We start from the raw sequence: 20,722 nt of genomic DNA on the forward strand, positions 1-20,722 counted from the left end.
ACAGTTGTTTACTGGCCATGTTTACTCACTGCCTGGGGAGGAGGACACTGCAGGCCATACAGGGCCGGCATTTGGGAGCCCAGTGAGCAACCAGAGGAAGCGGGAGGCAGGCTTTATAGTACCAAGAGTGTGGGGTCCCCCTGGTCCTCAGGGGAGGGTGAGATCGGCTTGTTTGAATGATGTGGTGAGCTAGCAGGAAGTGAAACCTGTTAGGCTGAGGATGGGGTGAGTGCAGCCAGTCCATCCGATACTGCCTCTAGCTGGGTTGGGAGGCCCTCCCATCCATTGGGAGAGTTTCTGGCAAAAGCAGGGGAAGTCAGAGCTAGGACTTTGGGGTCCTCTGAGGTTCAAATATGTCAGGGCAGCACTAAGACATTTAGGCCTTACAGTACACCCTCTCAGAACCATCTTCTCAAGCACAGTGAGACAATGTCACTCCCTGATTAAGACGTCCACTCCCTTTGCAGGTGGAAATCAAGCTCCTTAGAAAAGCACTGTGCAGTTACGCCGCTTGTCCACTCCTGCTCCAACATGCCCCAGGCTCTGTGTCCACACTGCAACCTCTCTGATCCTCCCCGGTCTAGGTCAGGCCTGGCGTGTCCCAGAGGCACAGCAGTGAGAAAGCCAGGGACACCTATTCTCTGGCCTCCCTTGCTCCCTACCATCCCCACATCTGGACATCCCGGTGAGCCGTGTTGGTGTCATTGTTGTAAGAGTTGCCCGTCTGTGAATACTGCACTTCAATGTTTACGGAATCCACTCACAATATATTACTGCATTTCTTCTACTCAGCAATCCTTAAAGTGGATATTATTAACTCCATCTCACAGATGAGAAAATTGGGTTCAGAGAGGTTAATTAATTTGCTTAAGATCCAACTGTGAACAAATATCAGACCAAAATTTGAAATGCAAGTCTTTGGCCTGAAAGTCCAATATTGTTTCCCTAATACCACCACTTCCATTCTAGAAAAATAGCTCTCCACATCTCCATCCTCTTCCCAATAAAATCTCCCTTCAGTCAGAGGGACAAAGTGCTCCAAAATATATTCATGAAAAGCAGTCCTTCCAGCTCTTAACAAATCATCTAGCATTTGGCCATACATTCCATTAGGTCCTTAATTGGAAAATGTCACAGACTGTTCCCCAATTATTTCTTTTGTAAGGTCTCCAAGCTAGAAGCAAATCTTCTTGAGTTCAGGGACTACATTATAAGATATTGCATATATATATATATATATATATATATATATATATATGCACAAATATGTGTAGAAGTGTGTGTGTCCTGGTCCCTTTAATCCCCTAAATATGTGTCCTGTTGATAAACACATTGTAGGCCTGTGATAAATGCTTGTTGCAGTGAAAATAAAATTCATCTGAGTTCACTTAAATTTCACAAATAACACTTCTACAGGCCATTTAACGCTTTGGGGAGAGCCAAACCTCGTAACTCCAAAATGAATGAGTGTCTATAAGCTAGTAGCCATCCTCAGGAAAGGAAAGGTTCGCTTAGGGAAATGACTCACCCCCAACCTGGGTGATGAACTGAGATCAACTGAGTTCCTGTGGAACATGAGTGCACACTGAATGGAAGTCAATTGCAGTTCGTTTTCAAACGTCGTATCAACTGCTCCAACTCCCGTTTTCATAGAAGACAAAGGGGAAGTAAGGTCTGTTAGGAGCCAGGGTTGCTGAACCATTCATCCCTTCCACCCTAACATCTTGTCTCTGGGGACTCACAGGGATGAGCTAGAGTATTTGTCCATGTGGGCCAAGGAGAGATTGGTTATCAAAGCTGGACATGCCCTATCCAGCCCACACCACCATGGCTGGTATCATGAAGGGGGCCACAGTTGGAGTTGGAGGAGGAGAGAGGTATGTGAAAGCAAGCAAGCAATGTAAGACAAAATTAAAGGAAAGGGATTTAGGAAGCCACAAATGAGTTCCCAGATAAGTAGCTGTAGGTGGAGGTAAGTAGACGAGTTGCCAAGAGCCTTGATGAAGTTCACACACACCAGTGCTCTTCTTGTCCTGCACTTGGCGGGTCGTTCATCATGAAGGTCACACCACTGATTGTGTCATGCAAACAGGAACAGATGCACACATTGGGGTTTTCAAGTCTATCCCAAAAATCAACAGACTGCAAGGCACCAAGCGAGTCATATCGGTTCTGTGACTCAGTTCCTCAGCTTTACAGTGGAAACAATGACTATATCACAGGAGTCTTGTAAGACTGAAACAAAATGATACACGTAACAGTGCTCAGAATACTAGTTGAATGAGAATGTGATATGGTTTGGCTATGTCCCCACCCAAATCTCACCTCAAATTGTAATAATCCCCATATGTCAAGGGTGGGGCCAGCTGGAGATAATTGAATCATGGTGACGGTTTCTCCCATTCTGTTCTCATGGTAATGAATAAGTCTCACAAGATCTGATGGTTTTATAAAGGCGAGTTCCCCTGCACAGTTCTCTCTTGCCTATCACCATGTATGATATCTCTTTGCTCTTCCTTAGTCTTCTGCCATGATTGTGAGGCCTCCCCAGACATGCTGAACTGTGAGTCCATTAAACCTCTTTCCTTTATAGATTGCCCAGTCTCAGGTGTGTCTTTATTAGGAGCTTGAGAACAGACTAATACAGTATGTGTGGATGTGGCTGAAAGAGGTGTGTTTATTGAATGAAAATAATAATAATCCACATTTTTGAACACCTGACTAGGTGTTTGGCTTACCTAAAGAGCTTTACACGTATTCTCTACTTCCCCCTTCACAAAATAAATCTATGAGGAAGGAAATTTTATTATCCCCATTTTATAGATGAGAAATTTAGAGAAATTTCCTTGTAGAGAAATTTAGTAACATGCCAAAGATCACACAGCTAAGGAGTGCCACAGAGGCAGCCCAAACACAGGCAGTGGGATAGAAGTCCCCATCATTAACCACAGAACAAGAGAAATAAGGAGGAGGAAGAGGAAAAGTAAGTTTCACTGATTGTATTGTTCGATCCTCACAACTACACTATGAGGTAGGGATTGGTGTAGCCCCGTTTCACAGGTGAAGACATTGAGGGCCCAAGAGGCTGATTAACTTGCACTAGAGGTATGGAGGAGAGAAAACTGATGGGGTGTTGGGAATCACAAATAGTTTATTACGCCTATTTGTGTTAAACAAGAGATTGAATCTTACAGCCAGACTTCCTGGGTTCAATTTCCAACTCCATCACTCACTTCCTGTGTGACCTTAGGCAAGTCACTTCACCTTCCCGTGCCTCAGTTTCCCCATCGGTATAATTGGAATAATAGTACCAACCTCCCTACACATCCTCACATGTACCCCAGAATTTAGAATAATAATAATAATAATAACAACCTCATGATCTGCTGTGAGGATGAAACAGTTAATAGATACTAAGTACCTGCTACTCAGTGTATGATCCCCCCACCATCAGCAGCACCTGGAGGCTTGTTAGAAAGGCAGAATCCCTGCCCGATGCAGTCACTGACTCTGAACCTGACCTCAGGGGATGTGTAATTTGTGTGCATGTGGACTTTTGAGAAGAGCTGTGAACAGTATAGAGCAAGCCCTCCATTCGCAAATATCTGTGTTATCATCACAGCCGAGGCCTGAGTGTGGGCAGGGAGCAGGGAAGACTGGAAAGTGAACCAGGTAAAGTAAGTTGGAGGTAGACTGTGAAGGGCTTGGCTCAGGAAATCAGGCATCCCAAAGGTGACAGAGGGATGCGGGCCTGTGTGCTCCAGGCCTGGCTCCCAAGGAACCGCTGAACAATCAAGTTGCTCCTTCTCACTCTTCCCCACCATGGGGTCAGGACCCAAAACGAATCAAATAAGAAATTCATGGCAAAGTGTGCTAGGAACTGGGAAACACTACACAAAAGTAAGGATTCGTGACTGAGAGAGCAATTGCCTTCCCAGTGTAGGGGAACCTGGGCCCTGGGATTCAGAATGCTATTCCAAGAGGGAGCAGAATGGATCACCCTAGGCATGTGTGTCTGGGGCCAGAGGCTGAGGATGACGAGAAGATTATAAAAGTCTGTGTTTTTAGGACATCCCCAGGTCGTTCCAAAGGGGATGGGTGGCTTAGAGTGTCAGTTCTCAAATGTGAGAGGGCACCAGGTCTTCCCTGAGGGTAATTTGGACACGGGGTCTCAGGCCTTCTTCCAGAGCTCCTGATTCAGTGGCTCTGGGTGGTATTAGTTTGCTAGAACTCATGTAACAAAGTACCACACACAGAGAGCTGTTAAACTACAGGGTTTCATTTTCTCACAGCTCTAGAAGCTGAAAGTCCAAGATTAAGGTGTCAGCAGGGTTGGTTTCTTCTGGGGCTGTGAGAAAGACTCTGTCTCAGGCCTCTCTTCCTCTCTTCTAGCCTCTGGTAGTTTGCTGGTCATCTTTGGTGGTCTTGGTTTGTAGAGACATCACCCCAGTCTCTGCCTTCATGTTCACATGGTGTTGTGTGTGTGTGTGTGTGTGTGTGTGTGTGTGTGTGTGCGTCTGAATGTCCCCTTCTTATAAGAACACCAGTCATATTGGATTTGGGGCACACCAGCTCCAGTATGATCTCATTTACAGGAATTACATCAGCAACAGCCTATCTCCAAAAACAGTCCCATTCCAAAGCGCTCATTGTTAGAACCTCAACATATGAATTTTAGGAGGATGCAATTCAGCTCCTTCTCAATACAGATTTATCTACCATTGTGCCTTTGCTCCTGGACTCCCACAAGTCCTCTGGGAACACAGCCCTGGACTTCTCAGAGCAGTCACCCCTCAGTGCCCACCTCTGTGAAGGCGCCATTCACAGCTCAGTGGTGCTGTGTCCCTCCAAGCCCCTCTCCCTTCCAGGACCCCAGTGATTCCCAGGGCAACTGCCTTCCCGACACATCTATAGAGCTGAAAATCTGCGGTTACCATGGTTAATATTCCTGACTTGATTGGCACCACCAGTAATTGAACTGCAGTCTCTCGAGTGCAACACGCTCTATTCATTAGCTTCTATTGTGTTGGGCCATTGCATCAAACCACATTATCTTCCTGCTACCGAAAGAAAAAAAGAAGAAGAAAGGAAGAAAGAAAAGGCAGTCATGAATACAACAACGCTATGTTGCCATATGAGATGTTGCAGTTTTGCTTCGAGGGTGAAATCGTTCTAGACGGAATGTAATGTTGTACCAGCTCTGGCCCCATCAAGAATGGTGAGATGTAAAGTGAGAAATCTTAATTTTGGTGGCACAGTCACACAGAATCAGAGCTAGAAATCAAAACTAGCCGAGTCCCAGTGTTTGTGTCATGAAGGCAACTGCTCGTTTGTTTACCATACTGTCAACATGCTCAGAGCCATCTCAGAATCCGCGTCTCCCGTACGTCTATTTATACCTTACCCCTCTTCCCAGCATTTGGGAAATCTTTTGTGAGCTTGCGGAAGTTTTTATTTGAGGACTTAATAAAAAGTACATGGGTTGGTAAAATTCTTGGATTTTTATCGCAGGTTTCTATTTTTAATCATCATGAGAAACGTTTTGTTTGTTTTGAAGCTAGAGATGCTTCACTTTTCTTCACTGGAATTCCACTTTTCTTCTTTTATTTATTTATTTCTCACTTACCTCATTCACAGTTCCTGGAGATATGCTAATATCACACTGTGTGGCTATGCACACAATTATGTTTTAAATAATAAAGAAAATGCAATAATAAGAAACGGTGGGCTTTGGGCTTTTGTTTTGATTTTTCTGACATTCCAGCATTTAATTGTAAAACACTCTTCTGGCTTTATAATTGCTGGCTTAGTTGATGGGAAATTGTAAGACTTTAAAATCTGAGTGTGAACAACCTTGACTGTCGCCTGCTCTCTGGGCCCACGTCACTGAAAGCTAAGAAAACAGCTCCACTCAATGGACTAACATCACCGAGAACCTCCTTCTCAACACCGGCTCTTCGCTGTGCATGTGAATACCACCTGGGTGCTGGTAGATTCTCTCTTCTTCAGATCCTGCCTCAACTTATCCCTTCCATTCATGTCTTCCCTATGTTTCTCAATTTACCTTTCTGCCACCTTCCTACAGAACACCTCTTCCCCATCCAGACCTTATCACTTCGTGTCTGGATTTGGAAATCACCTCTTCTCTGACCACTTCTCTCTGCCTGCCTCCTGATTTCAAATCAGGTAACTTCCTAAAACCACTTATATTTAATTTCTGGAGAGAGTCTGCAATATTAAAATGATTTCTTCCTAGAAAAAAAAAGTTGAAAAATTAATAGTCCAATGACCACAACCACCTGCAAAGCCCTGTTTTCCCAGCACAAGGTGAAAATCTGTGCATCTGGTGTCTGTGCGCACCCCCTGCACGCTGGTTCTCCGGAGGCTTCACCACTCCCTGTTGCCCTGCACAAGGTGCTGCCCAATTTCTGAGGGCCGCCCGGCCCTGAAAACATCGGCGCAGCCACACTCATCATGGCACTTGCACTCATCACTGCTGCCAATGCAGCAAACTTAGGCTCACCCATCTGACTCTCCCATCATCTAAGCCCAGTGTCCTCTCCGGTTCCAACTCCCTCCCAGCCTTGCTGGGGGGCTGGTCTCCAGTTTCACAACCTCAATTCCAGCAGCATCTTGCATAGGATGCTTTTGCTCCTCGCCTTCACCCACCTAAACTTTGTCACACTCCAATCCCAGTTCAAGTTCCTGTTTCCTGCTTGAAGCCCTCCCTGCCTTCTACCCCATAGCAGTTTGCCCCCGAGGCAGTCCTGGGCAGCTGCTGGGCTGCCTGGGACAGGCTGAGTCAATCTAACTCCAGGGAAAGCTCTTTACTGGCTGGCTGCACACACTTTCCTGCTTTCCGCTACAGAGCACTAAATATGTCGCTGGTACTGCTCAGAAAGGGCTTTCAAATGCTTTAAAATCTGTATAAAGAAGACACTAGTTACATAGATACGAAGTATTCTGCTCTAAAAGTTTTTTTCCCAACACAAAATGAAGCTTCTCTTCTCTTTAACTTCCTAGGATTCAAGCTCCCTCGGGTGCACTTACAAAGTCCAGAGAAGCTTGCAGGGTGCTCCCAGGGCACTGACTGAGCAGGAGTGGGAAACAGGTTGCTAATTCTCTAGGCCCCTCCCTCTGCCAGCAGAATCGGCTGCATTATGTTAGGGTCAAGTCACAGGAGGACACAGGACTCTCCCAAGCATGGCCTACCCCAACTCTAGGCTCTAGGCCCAGGGGGCTCCACCTCCCTCCCCAAACACCTCATGCCCTAACGCTGGCTTCACTTTGACCTCTACACCCCTTTCTGTCATGGTCTGTCTGCTGGAATGCCCTTCATTTGTGTTATAAGGCCCAGTTCAATGTTCACCTCTCTAGGAAGACTTCTCTCCTCTCCCCAAATGAAGCATGAGCTACCCTCACCTCCTGCATACTCCTGCAGCCCTTTGAACTCGGTTTTCACTTCTGTTTTTTTTGTTTGTCTGCTTGTCTTGCTGTTGCACCTCTCTCTACACTGAAGCTAAGATTCACCATTTTGCTTCCTCCTAAGAATTCCTCTTACACCACAACCTCTCACCCTTTGTCCTTGAGTTTCTCAGACACCCAACTTGAATTCTCAGTGCAAATCTGGGAGTCAATGAAAGAGCAAGTTGGAGCTGTGAAATCACCCTCACCCCACCACCCATCCCTCTGCTGTAAAAAGAAATACATGCAAAATTGCTGAGAACAAGATCTGGAAAACAGTAGGTGCTTAAATGAGGCTAATGGCTTCCCTTCTTTCTCATTGCAGGAAATACGAATCCTAACATGATGAATTCCCAAGTATTTTAAATGATAATAAAATATTTCCAGCTCAAGTAGATATTCAAATGAGAGCGATGTTGCTAAGAGCTGAGCCTTGGAAAAGGCCTGGAAAACGCTGCAGTAAAAACTCTCCGGACTTTCTCTGTGTATTCTCTAACTCAACTGGCAACATGAGCCACTAAATGATGCTAAAGACACAGGTTTCATTGCATTCTTGACTTTTTTGCTCTTCGGCCAAATGTCAGCGCCCCCAATTCACGGCTCCAAGAGGACCTGTCCGTGAGAGCACCAGCCCAGCCCCCACCTGTGTGAATGAAGAGACCCATGTATCCAGAAAACTACAAGTGACATGTGCAGAGTGACAGCGAGAGCCCTGATCACAGTTCCTGTTTCTGTCCAGGGCTGCTTGTACCACAACAGGCCATCAGATGGACGCTGTCCACAGTCTATTACGGCAAGGGGGCAGGAGGCCTGGTGGGAGCCGGTAAATGACTCTGCCCTCTGGGAGGGATACCGGGGTGGTTGGGGAACGCATCTGCTGTGCGCCACACCCTCGTCTCCAGGCCCTGCGTGCTCAGTGGGCTCTCAGTTGCCAGGTCCGACCTGGGTGGAACATCGTTTCCGAGCTCTGTCTCGAAGTGAGTTCCATAGACAGTTTGGTCCTAGGTCCTAAATCTCCCTGCTTTCTGGCATATCATCTTACGGCTCTTATAGGCGCGCGCACACACACACACACACACACACACACACACACACACACAATCTGTCCTCTCCATCCAAACACAAAGGCTTTTTTTTTTTCTTTTTGAGACGGAGTCTGGCTCTGTCCCCCAAGCTGGACTGCAGTGGCGTAATCTTGGTTCACTGCAAGCTCCACCTCCCGGGTTCACGCCATTCTCCTGCCTCAGCCTCCCGAGTAGCTGGGACTACAGGCGCCCGCCACCACGCCCGGCTAATTTTTTTTTTGTATTTTTTAGTACAGACGGGGTTTCACCGTGTTAGCCAGAATGGTCTCAATCTCCTGACCTCGTGATCCGCCCGCCTGGGCCTCCCAAAGTGTTGGGATTACAGGCGTGAGCCACCGTGCCCGGCCACAAAGCCTCTTTAAGTTTACTTTTTTGGGGTTGACAGCAAGTTGTTCAATACAGCCCTTAAAATATTTATTATTTTAAGGAAAGTAGATGCATAGCTGTGATAACTTCAGCAAATAGTTTTAATTAAGCTGATTTAATGAAAATCCAGTACAATTTTGATTTTTTAAAACATTTGTATATGTGTTATCTCCAACATACCTAACAATTCTCTGTGATTCTAACTCCAGCATCTTCTGAGGCTACAAGTGTCACTTTTAAACCAGTGAGTTACTGCAGGGAATTTAGTCAGCCCACCTGGTAACAGCCCATTCGCCATCTTCCAGTTGTGTTTTATCCTTTGTAAATGTCGTAATTTCCAGAACCTTACTCTGAACATTTTCAATATCTACTCAGTATACACTGAGGAATTTAATTAATTTTCATTTTGTTCAAAGTTAAAATTTAATGCAGTGCTCAGTTTAAAAATAAGATATGTATAAATTATAATTTAGCGTGCATTCTAAAGTGAATTATTACCTGGGGTTTATTAAATAAGCTCCTTCTTTGGTATATGAAGGGAGGTATCAGTGGTCACATTTCACTCTGGGGAAGGAAAGGAAGATTGACTGAGGCCCAGCCAGGCACCAGACAGTGAGCCAGGTGTTTCCATGCCCCTCGCCTCCCTGAGCCTTGCAGTCATTCTGCGGGGTGGGCGTCTGTAGGAAGGAACGTGGGACCGTGTGATAATCTGGACATTGCGCTTGCACCGGAATTTCTTCCTGCTGGTTTTTGTAGGTCTGTGTTTCCCAGCCATTCAGTGAGAGGCACGGGAGAGAGCGGACACACTGAGAAAGGCTGAACGGCTGGTCTTTTCTATTTAAGGGAATCTCAGAGCACATGCCATAAATTATCCTCTCCTCAGTTTTCTTGACGCACATGACGAGTCCTGAGTCAACCTTCAGGCTTGGTCCTGTGGCGGCATTGCTTGTGGACTACTGAGCTGCCGCACGTGTCACAGCCAGACACGCACGGGGTCATTCCACCACCCAGGGCTGGCCCCCACCCTCCATGCTCTGCTCCATTGTCTGGGCAATGGAAGGCGATGATGGTGAATGCCTTTTTCTTTTTTTTTTTTCCCCGAGACTGAGTCTCACTCTGTTACCCAGGCTGGAGTGCAATGGCACAATCTCAGCTCACTGCAACCTCTGTCTCCCGGGTTCAAGCGATTCCCCTGCCTCAGCCTCCCGAGTAGCTGGGACTACAGGTGTGTGCCACTGCGCCTGGCCTGAATGCCTTTTTAAAAAAGTAACAGCATACTTAGAGTTTCCAAGTTTCCAAGATACCACATTATACCTGACACGCTCATCTCACCGGACCCAGCCTCTCGGGGAAGAATATTGTAACTTCATTCTTCAGGCCTCTCCTTTCCACAAGGACTCCCTCCCCAACTCCTGATAAGGATGTTATTTTCCACAAAAAAATATTGTATACAATTATTAAATAAACAAAGGATTCTGGACAGTCACATCTCACTAAGCCACAAAACGGCCACCCTGGGGTGTGCCCTTCCTCACAGTGCTTTTCTTTTTTTTTCTTTCTTGTTTTGAGATGGAGTTTTGCTCTTGTTTCCCAGGCTGGAGTGCAATGGTGCGATCTTGGTGCACCACAGCCTCTGCCTCCCGGATTCAAGCGACTCTCCTGCCTCTGCCTCCCAAGTGGCTGGGATTACAGGCACATGCCACCATGCCCGGCTAATTTTGTATTTTTAGTAGAGACAAGGTTTCTCCATGTTGGTCAGGCTGGTCTCAAACTCCCGACCTCAAGTGATCCACCCACCTCGGCCTCCCAAAGTGCTGGGATTATAGGTGTGCGCCACCACACCAGGCCCATGGTGCTTTTCCATGGCCACCGTGCCCTTCCCCAATCTCACAGGGGTGGCTGGGCTCCCACACCAAGGCCTGGCCGCCTTCCTGACCTCCAGCTTTCTTTTTGGCTAATCTTCCCAATCCACAAATCGTTGCATCTTAAGAATAGAGCACGGTTCTCGTCCTCAGTTTGACATACTAAACTACTGGCAAAGATGTATTCTTGGGACAGCTTTTTAAAGTCTGTCTGCAAGCAGCACCAAGATTAAATGCATCTCCCCAGCCTGAATGGGGATGGCATTTTTCACAAAGAGTGGTCCTGCAGGCCAAGGAGATCACAGCTTGAACTGAACACCTGTCAGTCGGTCTAGACAGCAACTGCTCTAATTTTGGAAGTGCAGGCGATCCGTAAAGCCAGCAAGCGGGGATGACTTTAGCTTCATCTATTGTGGACACAATTAAGTAAGTGAGATATATTTATGAATTCAAAACAGCTTCGTCATTCTTTAAAATCGGAGTTGAAAATCCAAACCGGAACTATTCATATGGTTTCTCCTTTTAAGTTACAAGGTTTCCTATCATGTATATGAATGAAATATAGTTTACCAAGTGAGAATAGTTTCTTTGTATTTAATTAGAAAATGACAGCATTTTGGTGGTGGTGAACAGTCAACACAGATCGTCTAACGGAATCCTTTCCTTCACTTTTGGTTCTCTGTATTCCGAGTTTTCTTGTTTGTAATCCTATTGCTGTCTTCATTAGAATATAGAAATGCTTCTATCTTGGCCTGACATTCACTTCTAGCTGCATTATGGGTGTGATTTAAGAAAAAAAAACAAAACAGTTAACTAGGAGACTGTGTTCCTTCCCACACTGTGCCCATGGAGGCAGCACATATGTTAACTCTTTCTAGTTTTGGACGAGAGTGGGTGAATATGATACGTATTGCTGGCCAAATTCTGTGGATTTTTTTTAGCACAGTGCATTGATCTAACAAATATCTTCTTACAGTTGTACAATGCTTTGGTAGGTAGAAAGAGTAACAACCTATCATTTTATACCAAAAGGGAATTTTTACATTTTAAAAAAGCACCGTTGTGAATATAGAATGGAATATTATACAGCCAGTAAAATGAGGTTTATAAAATAAGGTATGTACATTTGCATTTAAAATAATAGAAAATATTCTTACTTCTAAAATTATTTGAACAGTAAAAATACAAAATGTTCTGTAACTATCCCTAGTTGAGATATCATACAGAATTACATAATGTTTATATGAGATTATAAATGTGCATGTATATCTTTCTCGTTGTCTCCATTTATAAACAGTGATTGTTTCTAGTAGGAAGATCAGGGTAACTTTTACTTTAAAAAATGTGTTCTATAGTTTCTGAATTTTGGTGAGGCGTCTTATTTTTAAAAGCAAAATATTCTTCAAAATTTTATTTCCAATAAAATATATTTATTTCAGCAGCCCCATGGGCAATAAAGGAAAAAAGCAATATTGCCTAGTTTTCTAATTCTGAAGATATTTTAGCCTTTCAGTTTTCCCAAATAATAATTCATGTGTAATACAAGGGAGAGATATTTCCCAACAGGTTTAGGAAAGCCTTTTTTTCCCATGACTTGTGACTTTCCAAATTATCTACAAAACGCAGAGCAGAGGGAAGAATGGAAGCTCCCATTGCCATAAAGATGTTCCTGCTTCACACTCTACTATACTTTGGCATATTATAAGCAGCTACGATGAATGAATTGATGTTCTGTCTTGTTGCCACAACAATTAGTCAAAAAGTGAAAGGCTCAGTCAGTTCAGTACGCAAGACCTTGGATGCCACTCAGGAGCCCTGCATGAGGAGAAAGGAAGGTGCAGGGAAACTTCATTGTACCCACCAGACGGCCCGAGAACCATCTCACTGCATTGCACCGAAGCATGTTTGCCTAAGACTTTCACAACCATAATTATTTCCTTTTGAAGGTAGACATTGGTTTCCTAAGGATTTGAACCGATTAACTATTAGCCTGGTGCAAAAGTCATTGCGGCTTTTGCCATTGCTTTTAGTGCAATTACTTTGCACCAACCTAACAGTTGCATGAATATGCACATCTCACCTTAACAAGCCAAGTTCCTCTAACTTGCTTTCTCTGTTTCCCAGATAGCTACCCAAATCAAACAAACCCTGTATCCTTGACCTGTGTATGTTGTTTTGCTTTGCTTTTCATTTTTGAAAAACTGTACTCTTGTGCATGACAGAAAATGCATGATAGAGGTGCATGATGGAAAGTCTTTCAAATATGCCCCCATAGAATCTGACCCAGCACTCCCTTCATCCCTGCCCGTAGTGGCTGAGGTTACAATCCTGCCCTCTCCTCTCTGCGTCTGCTTTAATCCACCATCAGCTGTAAGGAAGGAAATTAGTACGGGGAGAGAGAAGAATGAACACACTGTAATTGTTACAATACACTAACAGTAATATTGTGACAAACAGTTCAGTGCTGTAATTCAGTGCCTCCAAACACTCAAGTATAGTTGAGAATAAGATCTGCATTTCTTCAAGAGCTAACAAAATGATTTAGGGCATCCCAGGCCTCGAGCACTCTAGGTGCTCAATAATTGTGTATTCAGGGAATTATCTCTAATATGTTTTTCAATAAAGCTCGTTATATACCTGTTGTGAAATGTCCTTTTCTTTAATCAATCATATTTATTTCAAATCATGAGTTACAAAGAAATTTCTGGTGCAGTGGTTCACACCTATAACCCCAGCACTTTGGGAGGCTAAGGCAGGAGGGTTGCTTGAGGCCAGGAATTTGAGACCAGCCTGGACATCATAGTGAGATCCCATCTCTACCAAAAAAACAAAAAAAAAATCAAGTGGACCAGAGTATATACATGACACAGCAATCAGGTTAAATCAGAAGAGTCCCTTTAAAAATCAAAGTAAATTTTCCCAAATACATTTTATTAAAGAGAATGGAGTAAACCATGAATAAGGTTGTTAGAAGATTCCAAATTTAAAATGCAAGCAAGTTCCTCAGAAACAAAAGTATACTGCTAACTCACCCACCTTTTACAATATGTATTTTCCAGTACAACATAGCCCAGTGAAGACTGCATTTAGAATGGCAGTTATAATGCTATATGAAAAAAATAGAATAATTGTGGAATTTTTTGCATTTAATGCTGTTTTTAAAGTAAAGAACATTCAATAGCAAGAGCTAAATCAAGCATTGTACCACGTAAGCTATAGAGTAGGCAATCTTCAAACGAGCTCTGAACTATATTGTTAAATATCATTTGAAGTATTTATATGTTAATTTTCCTATAAAGGTATATAAAGGTAGAAAAAGATAAATTAGATGCAGTATTAGAATCAACAACACAACAACAAAAACTACTGAAAACGCTCTTTTGTCTAGATTGAAAAATACTTTCTAAATACACTTAAAATTTAGGTCCTTATTAATTTTATCTAAAACAATACAAATGCTTAAGTGTTCTTTCTTTTTTTTTTTTGAGACGGAGTTTCACTTTTGTTGCCCAGGCTGGAGTGCAATGGCGCCATCTCGTCTCACTGCAACCTCTGCCTCCGGGGTTCAAGCGATTCTCCTGCCTCAGCCTCCTCAGTAGCTGGGATTACAGGCACACACCACCATGCACAGCTAATTTTGTATTTTTAGTAGAGACGGGGTTTTTTCCATGTTGTTTAGGCTGGTCTCAAACTCCCGACCTCAGCTGTTCTGCCTGCCTCAGCCTCCCAAAGTGCTGGGATTACAAGCATGAGCCACGACACGCGGCCAAGTGTTCTTTCTTAATGCATATTCAAGAATACCTTAAGTCAGGAAAACATTGGTTATATTTAGATAGAAAACATAATTGAATGCTAAGTCTTCCCCAACTACTGCCATGTCAGTTCAGCCTGGCACTTATATTTTATTATACAGTTTTCTGGAAAATACCTTAAACCATGTCAGAATAGTAACTCATATATCAGAGCTGGCATAACTCCAGCAGTAGCACTGAGAACACTGCAAATATCGCAAATTTGTTGCCTCATCCTGGGCATGATAAACCCAGTTGAGGTAGTGAGGTTGGTGCAGATCCTAACTAAATGTGGGAAAGAGGACCCTCTCCCTAACCTTTAAATCCTTATGTAAAGTTTGCTATCTTGTACAAAGCATGTTATCCTTATTATAAAAATTATACCTACTCATGTAAAAATTTATTGGAAAATAAAAAAGAGACAGAAAGAAGAAAACCTTGCCTTTAGTACTCAGGTCCTTTCCTTTTAAAACCACATTGGAATCATACTGTATACAATTTCATATTTAGTTGATCTTTTAATTTAACATTATATCTTTAGCATTCCTTATGATATTAAATGTCCTCTGTGGACATAAATCACAATGCATATAACTATTCCCCTACCCTTGGACACTTAAGTGGTTATCAATCTTTTGAGATAATAAATAGCATTACGGTGAATGATAACAGAAATGTTATATTACACCATCAAATTAAAAGCACAGCACGACATGCAACCAGGCACAATTCAATCTGAATCTAATTGATTTTAGACGGCAAGATTATTACAAATCCTGGGTGCATGCATTCAATTTTTCATGATCCAAAAATGTAATAAGTGTGGCTTTGAATGTCTTCCCTGATGTCACTGATCAAGTTGCTGGAAGGTAGAAAGCAAAGAATGGACCATGACACTTCACCAGGGTTTCACCAGATTCATTTAAATACATTAACCAACGTGTCAAAAACCCGCCTTCCTCTTGTAACAACCAGCTCATACTTTCCCTTCCTGTACATGAGCACGTAATAAACATTTTCTCAAAAAGCTGATGGAAAGCTAGGTAATGGTGTGAACATCACTTTCACAATGATCAAAAAAAATGACCTATATTCAGCATGGAGGAAATGTCTTTCAATTCCTAATGATCACCTTTTTATTTACACGTGCTCATTTATAAGCCGTCAGCCAACATAGATCACTTTATGCTTCCGCTTGGAAAAGGGAAAAAAGAAAAGAAAAGAAAAGAAGTACAAGACCAAAATAACAGTGGCCTATCAAAGAGAAGTTTATCTCCCCTGCAGGCTAACAATCCTCTTTGGTTAGCTCAGAATTTCAGGATGCCCTGCCCTTATGTCCCCACCTTGCCTATAAGTGCTTCTGCACAAGAAGCAGGGAAGAGTGGGCTCAGAGTCACCGCCCCCACCCCAGCAAGTGAGGGATTTCACCCAGGACTGACATGCATCTCCTGGCTCTACTCTCTGGGTTATTACCAAAGCAAATCACAGGCCCACAGTGAACTTTGAAGAAGGCAGAACACACTTCTCCCATGACTCTGATTGTTGACAGAACCAGATATTGGCGAAAAGCTCATGCCTACCATACAGCTGTAGAATCAGCAGTGCCTCTTCCTGTCTACAGACACTCAGATTTCTTTTTTTCTACTCAATAAAGGAGCAGTTGGCTCCCCTGTGCTGGTGTGGTCTCAGCTACATGGTTGCTCAAATACTCCCAATGGTGGTTCAAGGCCAGGTATTTTAGTATTGTATTGACCTTGACAGTAATAAATCAACTTTTGGAGACAAGGAATGAGTTCATGAGTTACCCTTTATCTTGGTTGCAGAGCAATGGATGTTTTAGGAAGGGGTTCTGGAGCATAATGGAACTCAGTCCCCAGCTGTGCATCACAATTAGATGGATGGTGTTGGAAAATATCACCTCTGTCAGGTAGAAAAGGACTACAGGTCACCGTGTACGGTGAAATGAAGAACAGCTGTTGATTATCTGAAAGCATGCTTTCCTTCTCTGTAATTCCCCTAAGTAATATTCTCTGAGGACTATATGACTTCCTCAAGGAGTCATAATAATAATATTCCTAATCACAATAAAAACAAAGACTTATATAGTCATATTATTAGATGCCAGGCACTGTTCCAAGTACATTGCACATACATAGACTCTCTGCATCCGTGGGTTCCACATCTGTGATTCAACCAACTGTGGGTTGAAAATATTCAGGAAAAAAAAAATCTGTACTGAATGTGTACAGACTTTCTTTTACTTGCCATTATTCCCTAAACTGTACAGTATAACAACTATTTACATAGCATTTACATTGCATTAGGTATTATAAGCAATCTAGAGATGATTTAAAGTATACGGGAGGATGTGCGTAGGTTATATGCAAATACTATACCATTTTAAATCACAGACTTGAGCATCTGAGGATTTGGGTATCTTCAGAGAATCCCAAAATCAATCCTCCATATATTGATCAACATTTTGAGATAAGTACTATTGTGTGCTCCATTGCAGATAAGGAAACTGAGGCACAGGGAAGTAAATGAACGTGCCCAAAACCACACAGCTAGAAAGTAGGGGAGACAAGATTCAGACCATAGCCATTTGGCTTCAGAGACTCTGATCTCTTTCACTGTACCAGGATGCCTTCAGCAGGTTGTTGATACCTCTCAAGAGAAACACAGAAGGGACACTGTTTCCATCTACAGATGCAGACCTAGCCCAAGGTCACCACTTGTAAGCACCAAAGCAGGATTTGAACCTGGGGTGAATGCAACTCCACAGCCAAGGGTGTTTCCACTCTGCCAAGCTGCTGCTAGCATTACTACCCTAAGACATCAGACCAAGTCCTTTTTTCTGGTTACATTTCTGTCAGTAGACACACTTCATTTCTTCTCCCACAGCCTCTTTCATTTCATTTGATGTCACTCTTCAGCCCTCTTATAAAGAGCTTGCAATCTCCAGACAGTGGCTTCCTTGGATCATGCAAATATTGCTTATTGCCTTTGACCTTGCTTTGAAGACTTCTTTGTCTACAGTGGATGTTTAGCTCTCCTTGGGGAAGCTATTTAATTCAGACCTTCTCCCCTAAAGAAACACGAATCCCTGAAAGCCGACACTCAGATTTCCTGTTACTGAGTTCTATAATCCCCAAGTGATTATTTGCCCTTGAGATTTCGTAGCAGGCTTAACCTTGAGCTCAGCAGATAAAAGCCTGCCTTTTCCCAAGGGAGGTCTGCCCTCAGCAGCACCTTCCACATGGGAAGAGAGGAGGATCAGCCATGCTTCTTCTCCATTGGCAGCTGGAAAGTGGGATGGGTTGGCAAGAACAGGACAGAAGGTAGTTGGTCTCCTTAGGACAAAACACCTCAGAGCAGGCTCATGGCAGTGAAAGATGACGGCAGTGACCAAGCTGATCTGAGACTATGATGAGCCGAGCATTAACTGATTGACTTTTGACCCATGTTTTACCTAATATGTCTTTTTCCTCGTTGAAATTTAGAGCTACTGCCATCTTTAGAAGCTTTTGATGAATATGCAGGATTGCTGGAAGCTAAGCAGCGTAATTGAATTTGCAACTATTTGCTACAGGACTATAATTTAATGGGAGCATAATAATTTACTAAATACCATTACAGTGGCATCACATCCTGTTCATCAAAAAAATGAAAAAGATATATGCAGCAATGTTTCTTTATTATTCATGGTAGCTTTTTATAGAGAGGTTACCTCTAGAGTAGAATGGGTGTTATCATTTTAGCTTCCAGATTCAAATATTCTAAAACTACGTCAAATCCTACTACCTCCAAATTCAATCCATTCAAAATCTAGTACCAGCAAATTGAAGCCGTTTCTAAATGTCTCCTTTCAAATAGCATATCCACCACATAGTTTGCAGCTATGCAAAATACCTTCTATTTTTGTAAAGCAATAAATAATAAGAATTATATGTTGAGGTTCAACTATGTACCAATTATATGGAGCTGGATGCATTAGGGGTATGTGTGTGTGTGTGTGTGTGTGTGTGTGTGTGTGTTCTAATCTGAACAAAGGTTCTACGATGACAGTATTATCATCTCTATATATTTAGAGATGATAAAATAAAAGTTCAGAGAGAATCAAGGTCACCCACTTAGCTAGGTGAGGAAGCCAAGCTCGGGACCTAGCTTTCTCTGACACTGCAACAGCCTGCTTCTGTGAGATTTCTCCAGTGTAGATAAAACAGCAAGTATTTTCCAAGATGATGCATGAACTCACTCCAACTGGTGACTTCCTGCCAGCGTTACTGATTAATGACTAAAATGATGGTGCTCTGAAAACAAAAATGGTAAACCAGCCAAGGCAACAGGCCACCTCCCCCCTCTAAGCACCTGGGGAGGGGTGAACTTCTTCTGTTTTCCTCACTCCAAGCTAGGAATTCTAAGGTTTCTGTAGGGGAACCACTTACTACAAGAAGCAGCCATTTCTGGTCAATATCCCCCTGTGTTAACACTTAAAGAAATACATACTCTCAAAACAGAATCACTGGGAATTTTCATTTTCTCATTTTCCCCCAGAATCGGGAGCACTCTAAAGACCTGCTCCTGTTTTTGTGACAGACTTAGCATGAGTTCCATGGGACTCTGCCTGAACAGCATGTTTGGGAAGAATGCTCTCTTCTCTGCCCATGGTTATCGAGCTTTCTCACAACTTTCCTCGACTCCCTTTCCCGACAGGCCTCAGCCTAGAAAAACTAAAGGCCAGATCTTTGGAGGCAAAGGAAGCATATTTGGAATAGTGCCCATCTCCAGTCACAGCCGGAGTCACACGAGTTGCATGCACGAGGATTCAAGGCCACCTGGAGTAATTCACATCACCTAAAGTTTCTCAGGCCATGCCAACTTGGTATTAGAAATGGGGTCTGGAAGAAGAAACATGAGGTCACATCATCAGGAAAAGTTGCTGCTCCAGTGATTGCTTCGATTCCACAAAGCTAGAATTATATCCCCCTGAAAAATTCTCTTCTTACCAGAAGATCTCAGGGGAGATCTTATATGAGCTTTCATGAGAAAATCCTGTCAACCATGTTTAGCCACCACTGTCTTCCTCTCCAGAACCAAACACCCCTTATGGTAACACTGTGGGAACCTGCTCAAAAATGGCCTAAAAGCCCCATGTCACGGCCTCTGGGGTCAGTGAGTCCCGAAGTCTACCCCAGCTACAGCCCAGCAGTCAGGGCATTACGGGTAATACATGGAAAGACACAGTTTCCAAACTCCTTCACATCCGACTTTGGCGCTAAGCATTTCTCCAGTAACAGAGCCACCGCCATCCCGCCCCGTGCGCCGGCCCCACCCAGAAAGGAACATTTCATGCTCATTAGTCTCCACTGCAAATCCATTCTCCCACGTCGTCTCCAGCAGGCACAGACATCCCCACCTCCAGCAGCTCCTTCGTGCACACAGTCTGTGTCTCTGATCTCTGAAACACACCACAACACGTGCACACGTTGCTCCTCATCTGCCCTCGCCCGTTTTCCATGCCACCATGCGGGTCAGTTCACTTCCGCTCCAGCATTCCCACCGCCCTTAGTACTGGACACTGCTTCTTGAGGCCAGCATTGCTCCATGCATTCTCACAAGGGGTTCTGAGGCAGTTGGCATCCCTGGGGACCCACACCGTGAGTGGGAGAATGCCCCTGGCCCACCTGAAGTTGCTCTTCAGCAGAGCCTCCGGAGCCTGGCTGCTGGGGCTGGGGAGGCCCTGACTACCCACCACGTGGTGCAGGAAAGGCCTAGAGGCTGCAGCATGGGAGAACTTCCCACACAGGCAACACGCCGTCCCCTCTTCTCTCTTGCACAGTTCCTGCTTTACCAAGACCATCCTAGAAGGCAGTGGGATGAGGACAGGAGACCAGCACAAACAGCAAAGGGAAGGACAAGGACCCGGATATGGGTGACGCTGCAGAAACGGAGACGGAGCAGAGGCCAAGCGTATTGTGGGGAAGCATAAACTACCTAGCCTGTGTTCTGCTGTTGATGTGTTGTGTGCTGCCAGGCAAGTTGTTTAATTTTATATCCTCAGTTTCCCCATCAGTGGCATGACAGGGACGACTCTCAGATCCAATATAGCTCTGGCAGTGCAGGACCTTGAGGCCTCAAGTAAGATAACGTG

General features: G+C 43.9%; 1 long non-coding RNA gene across 1 annotated transcript in view, besides 3 other annotated features; it reads right to left on the reverse strand.

Annotated features, from left to right (window-relative positions):
• Positions 1 to 20,722, reverse strand: part of LINC00299 (long intergenic non-protein coding RNA 299) — a 320,649-nt gene that overhangs the window by 145,201 nt on the left and 154,726 nt on the right. The gene's annotated exons all lie outside the window — the stretch shown is intronic.
• Positions 302 to 351: an enhancer, noted in NCBI's record as "active region_15251". NCBI's record gives its function as "activates an Ori minimal core promoter by ATAC-STARR-seq in GM12878 lymphoblastoid cells {active_cell/tissue: GM12878}" and the evidence as "EXISTENCE:reporter gene assay evidence [ECO:0000049][PMID:35858748]".
• Positions 6,040 to 6,541: an enhancer, noted in NCBI's record as "H3K4me1 hESC enhancer chr2:8299141-8299642 (GRCh37/hg19 assembly coordinates)". NCBI's record gives its function as "activates a minimal SCP1, AML or CMV promoter by ChIP-STARR-seq in naive H9 embryonic stem cells {active_cell/tissue: H9 hESC(naive)}" and the evidence as "EXISTENCE:reporter gene assay evidence [ECO:0000049][PMID:30033119]".
• Positions 6,508 to 6,684: a silencer, noted in NCBI's record as "fragment chr2:8299609-8299785 (GRCh37/hg19 assembly coordinates)". NCBI's record gives its function as "represses an EF-1alpha promoter that drives an FKBP-Casp9 reporter gene in an ReSE screen in HepG2 liver carcinoma cells {active_cell/tissue: HepG2}" and the evidence as "EXISTENCE:reporter gene assay evidence [ECO:0000049][PMID:32094911]".

Source organism: Homo sapiens, chromosome 2, assembly GCF_000001405.40.
Source record: "Homo sapiens chromosome 2, GRCh38.p14 Primary Assembly".
NCBI lineage: Eukaryota > Metazoa > Chordata > Mammalia > Primates > Hominidae > Homo > Homo sapiens.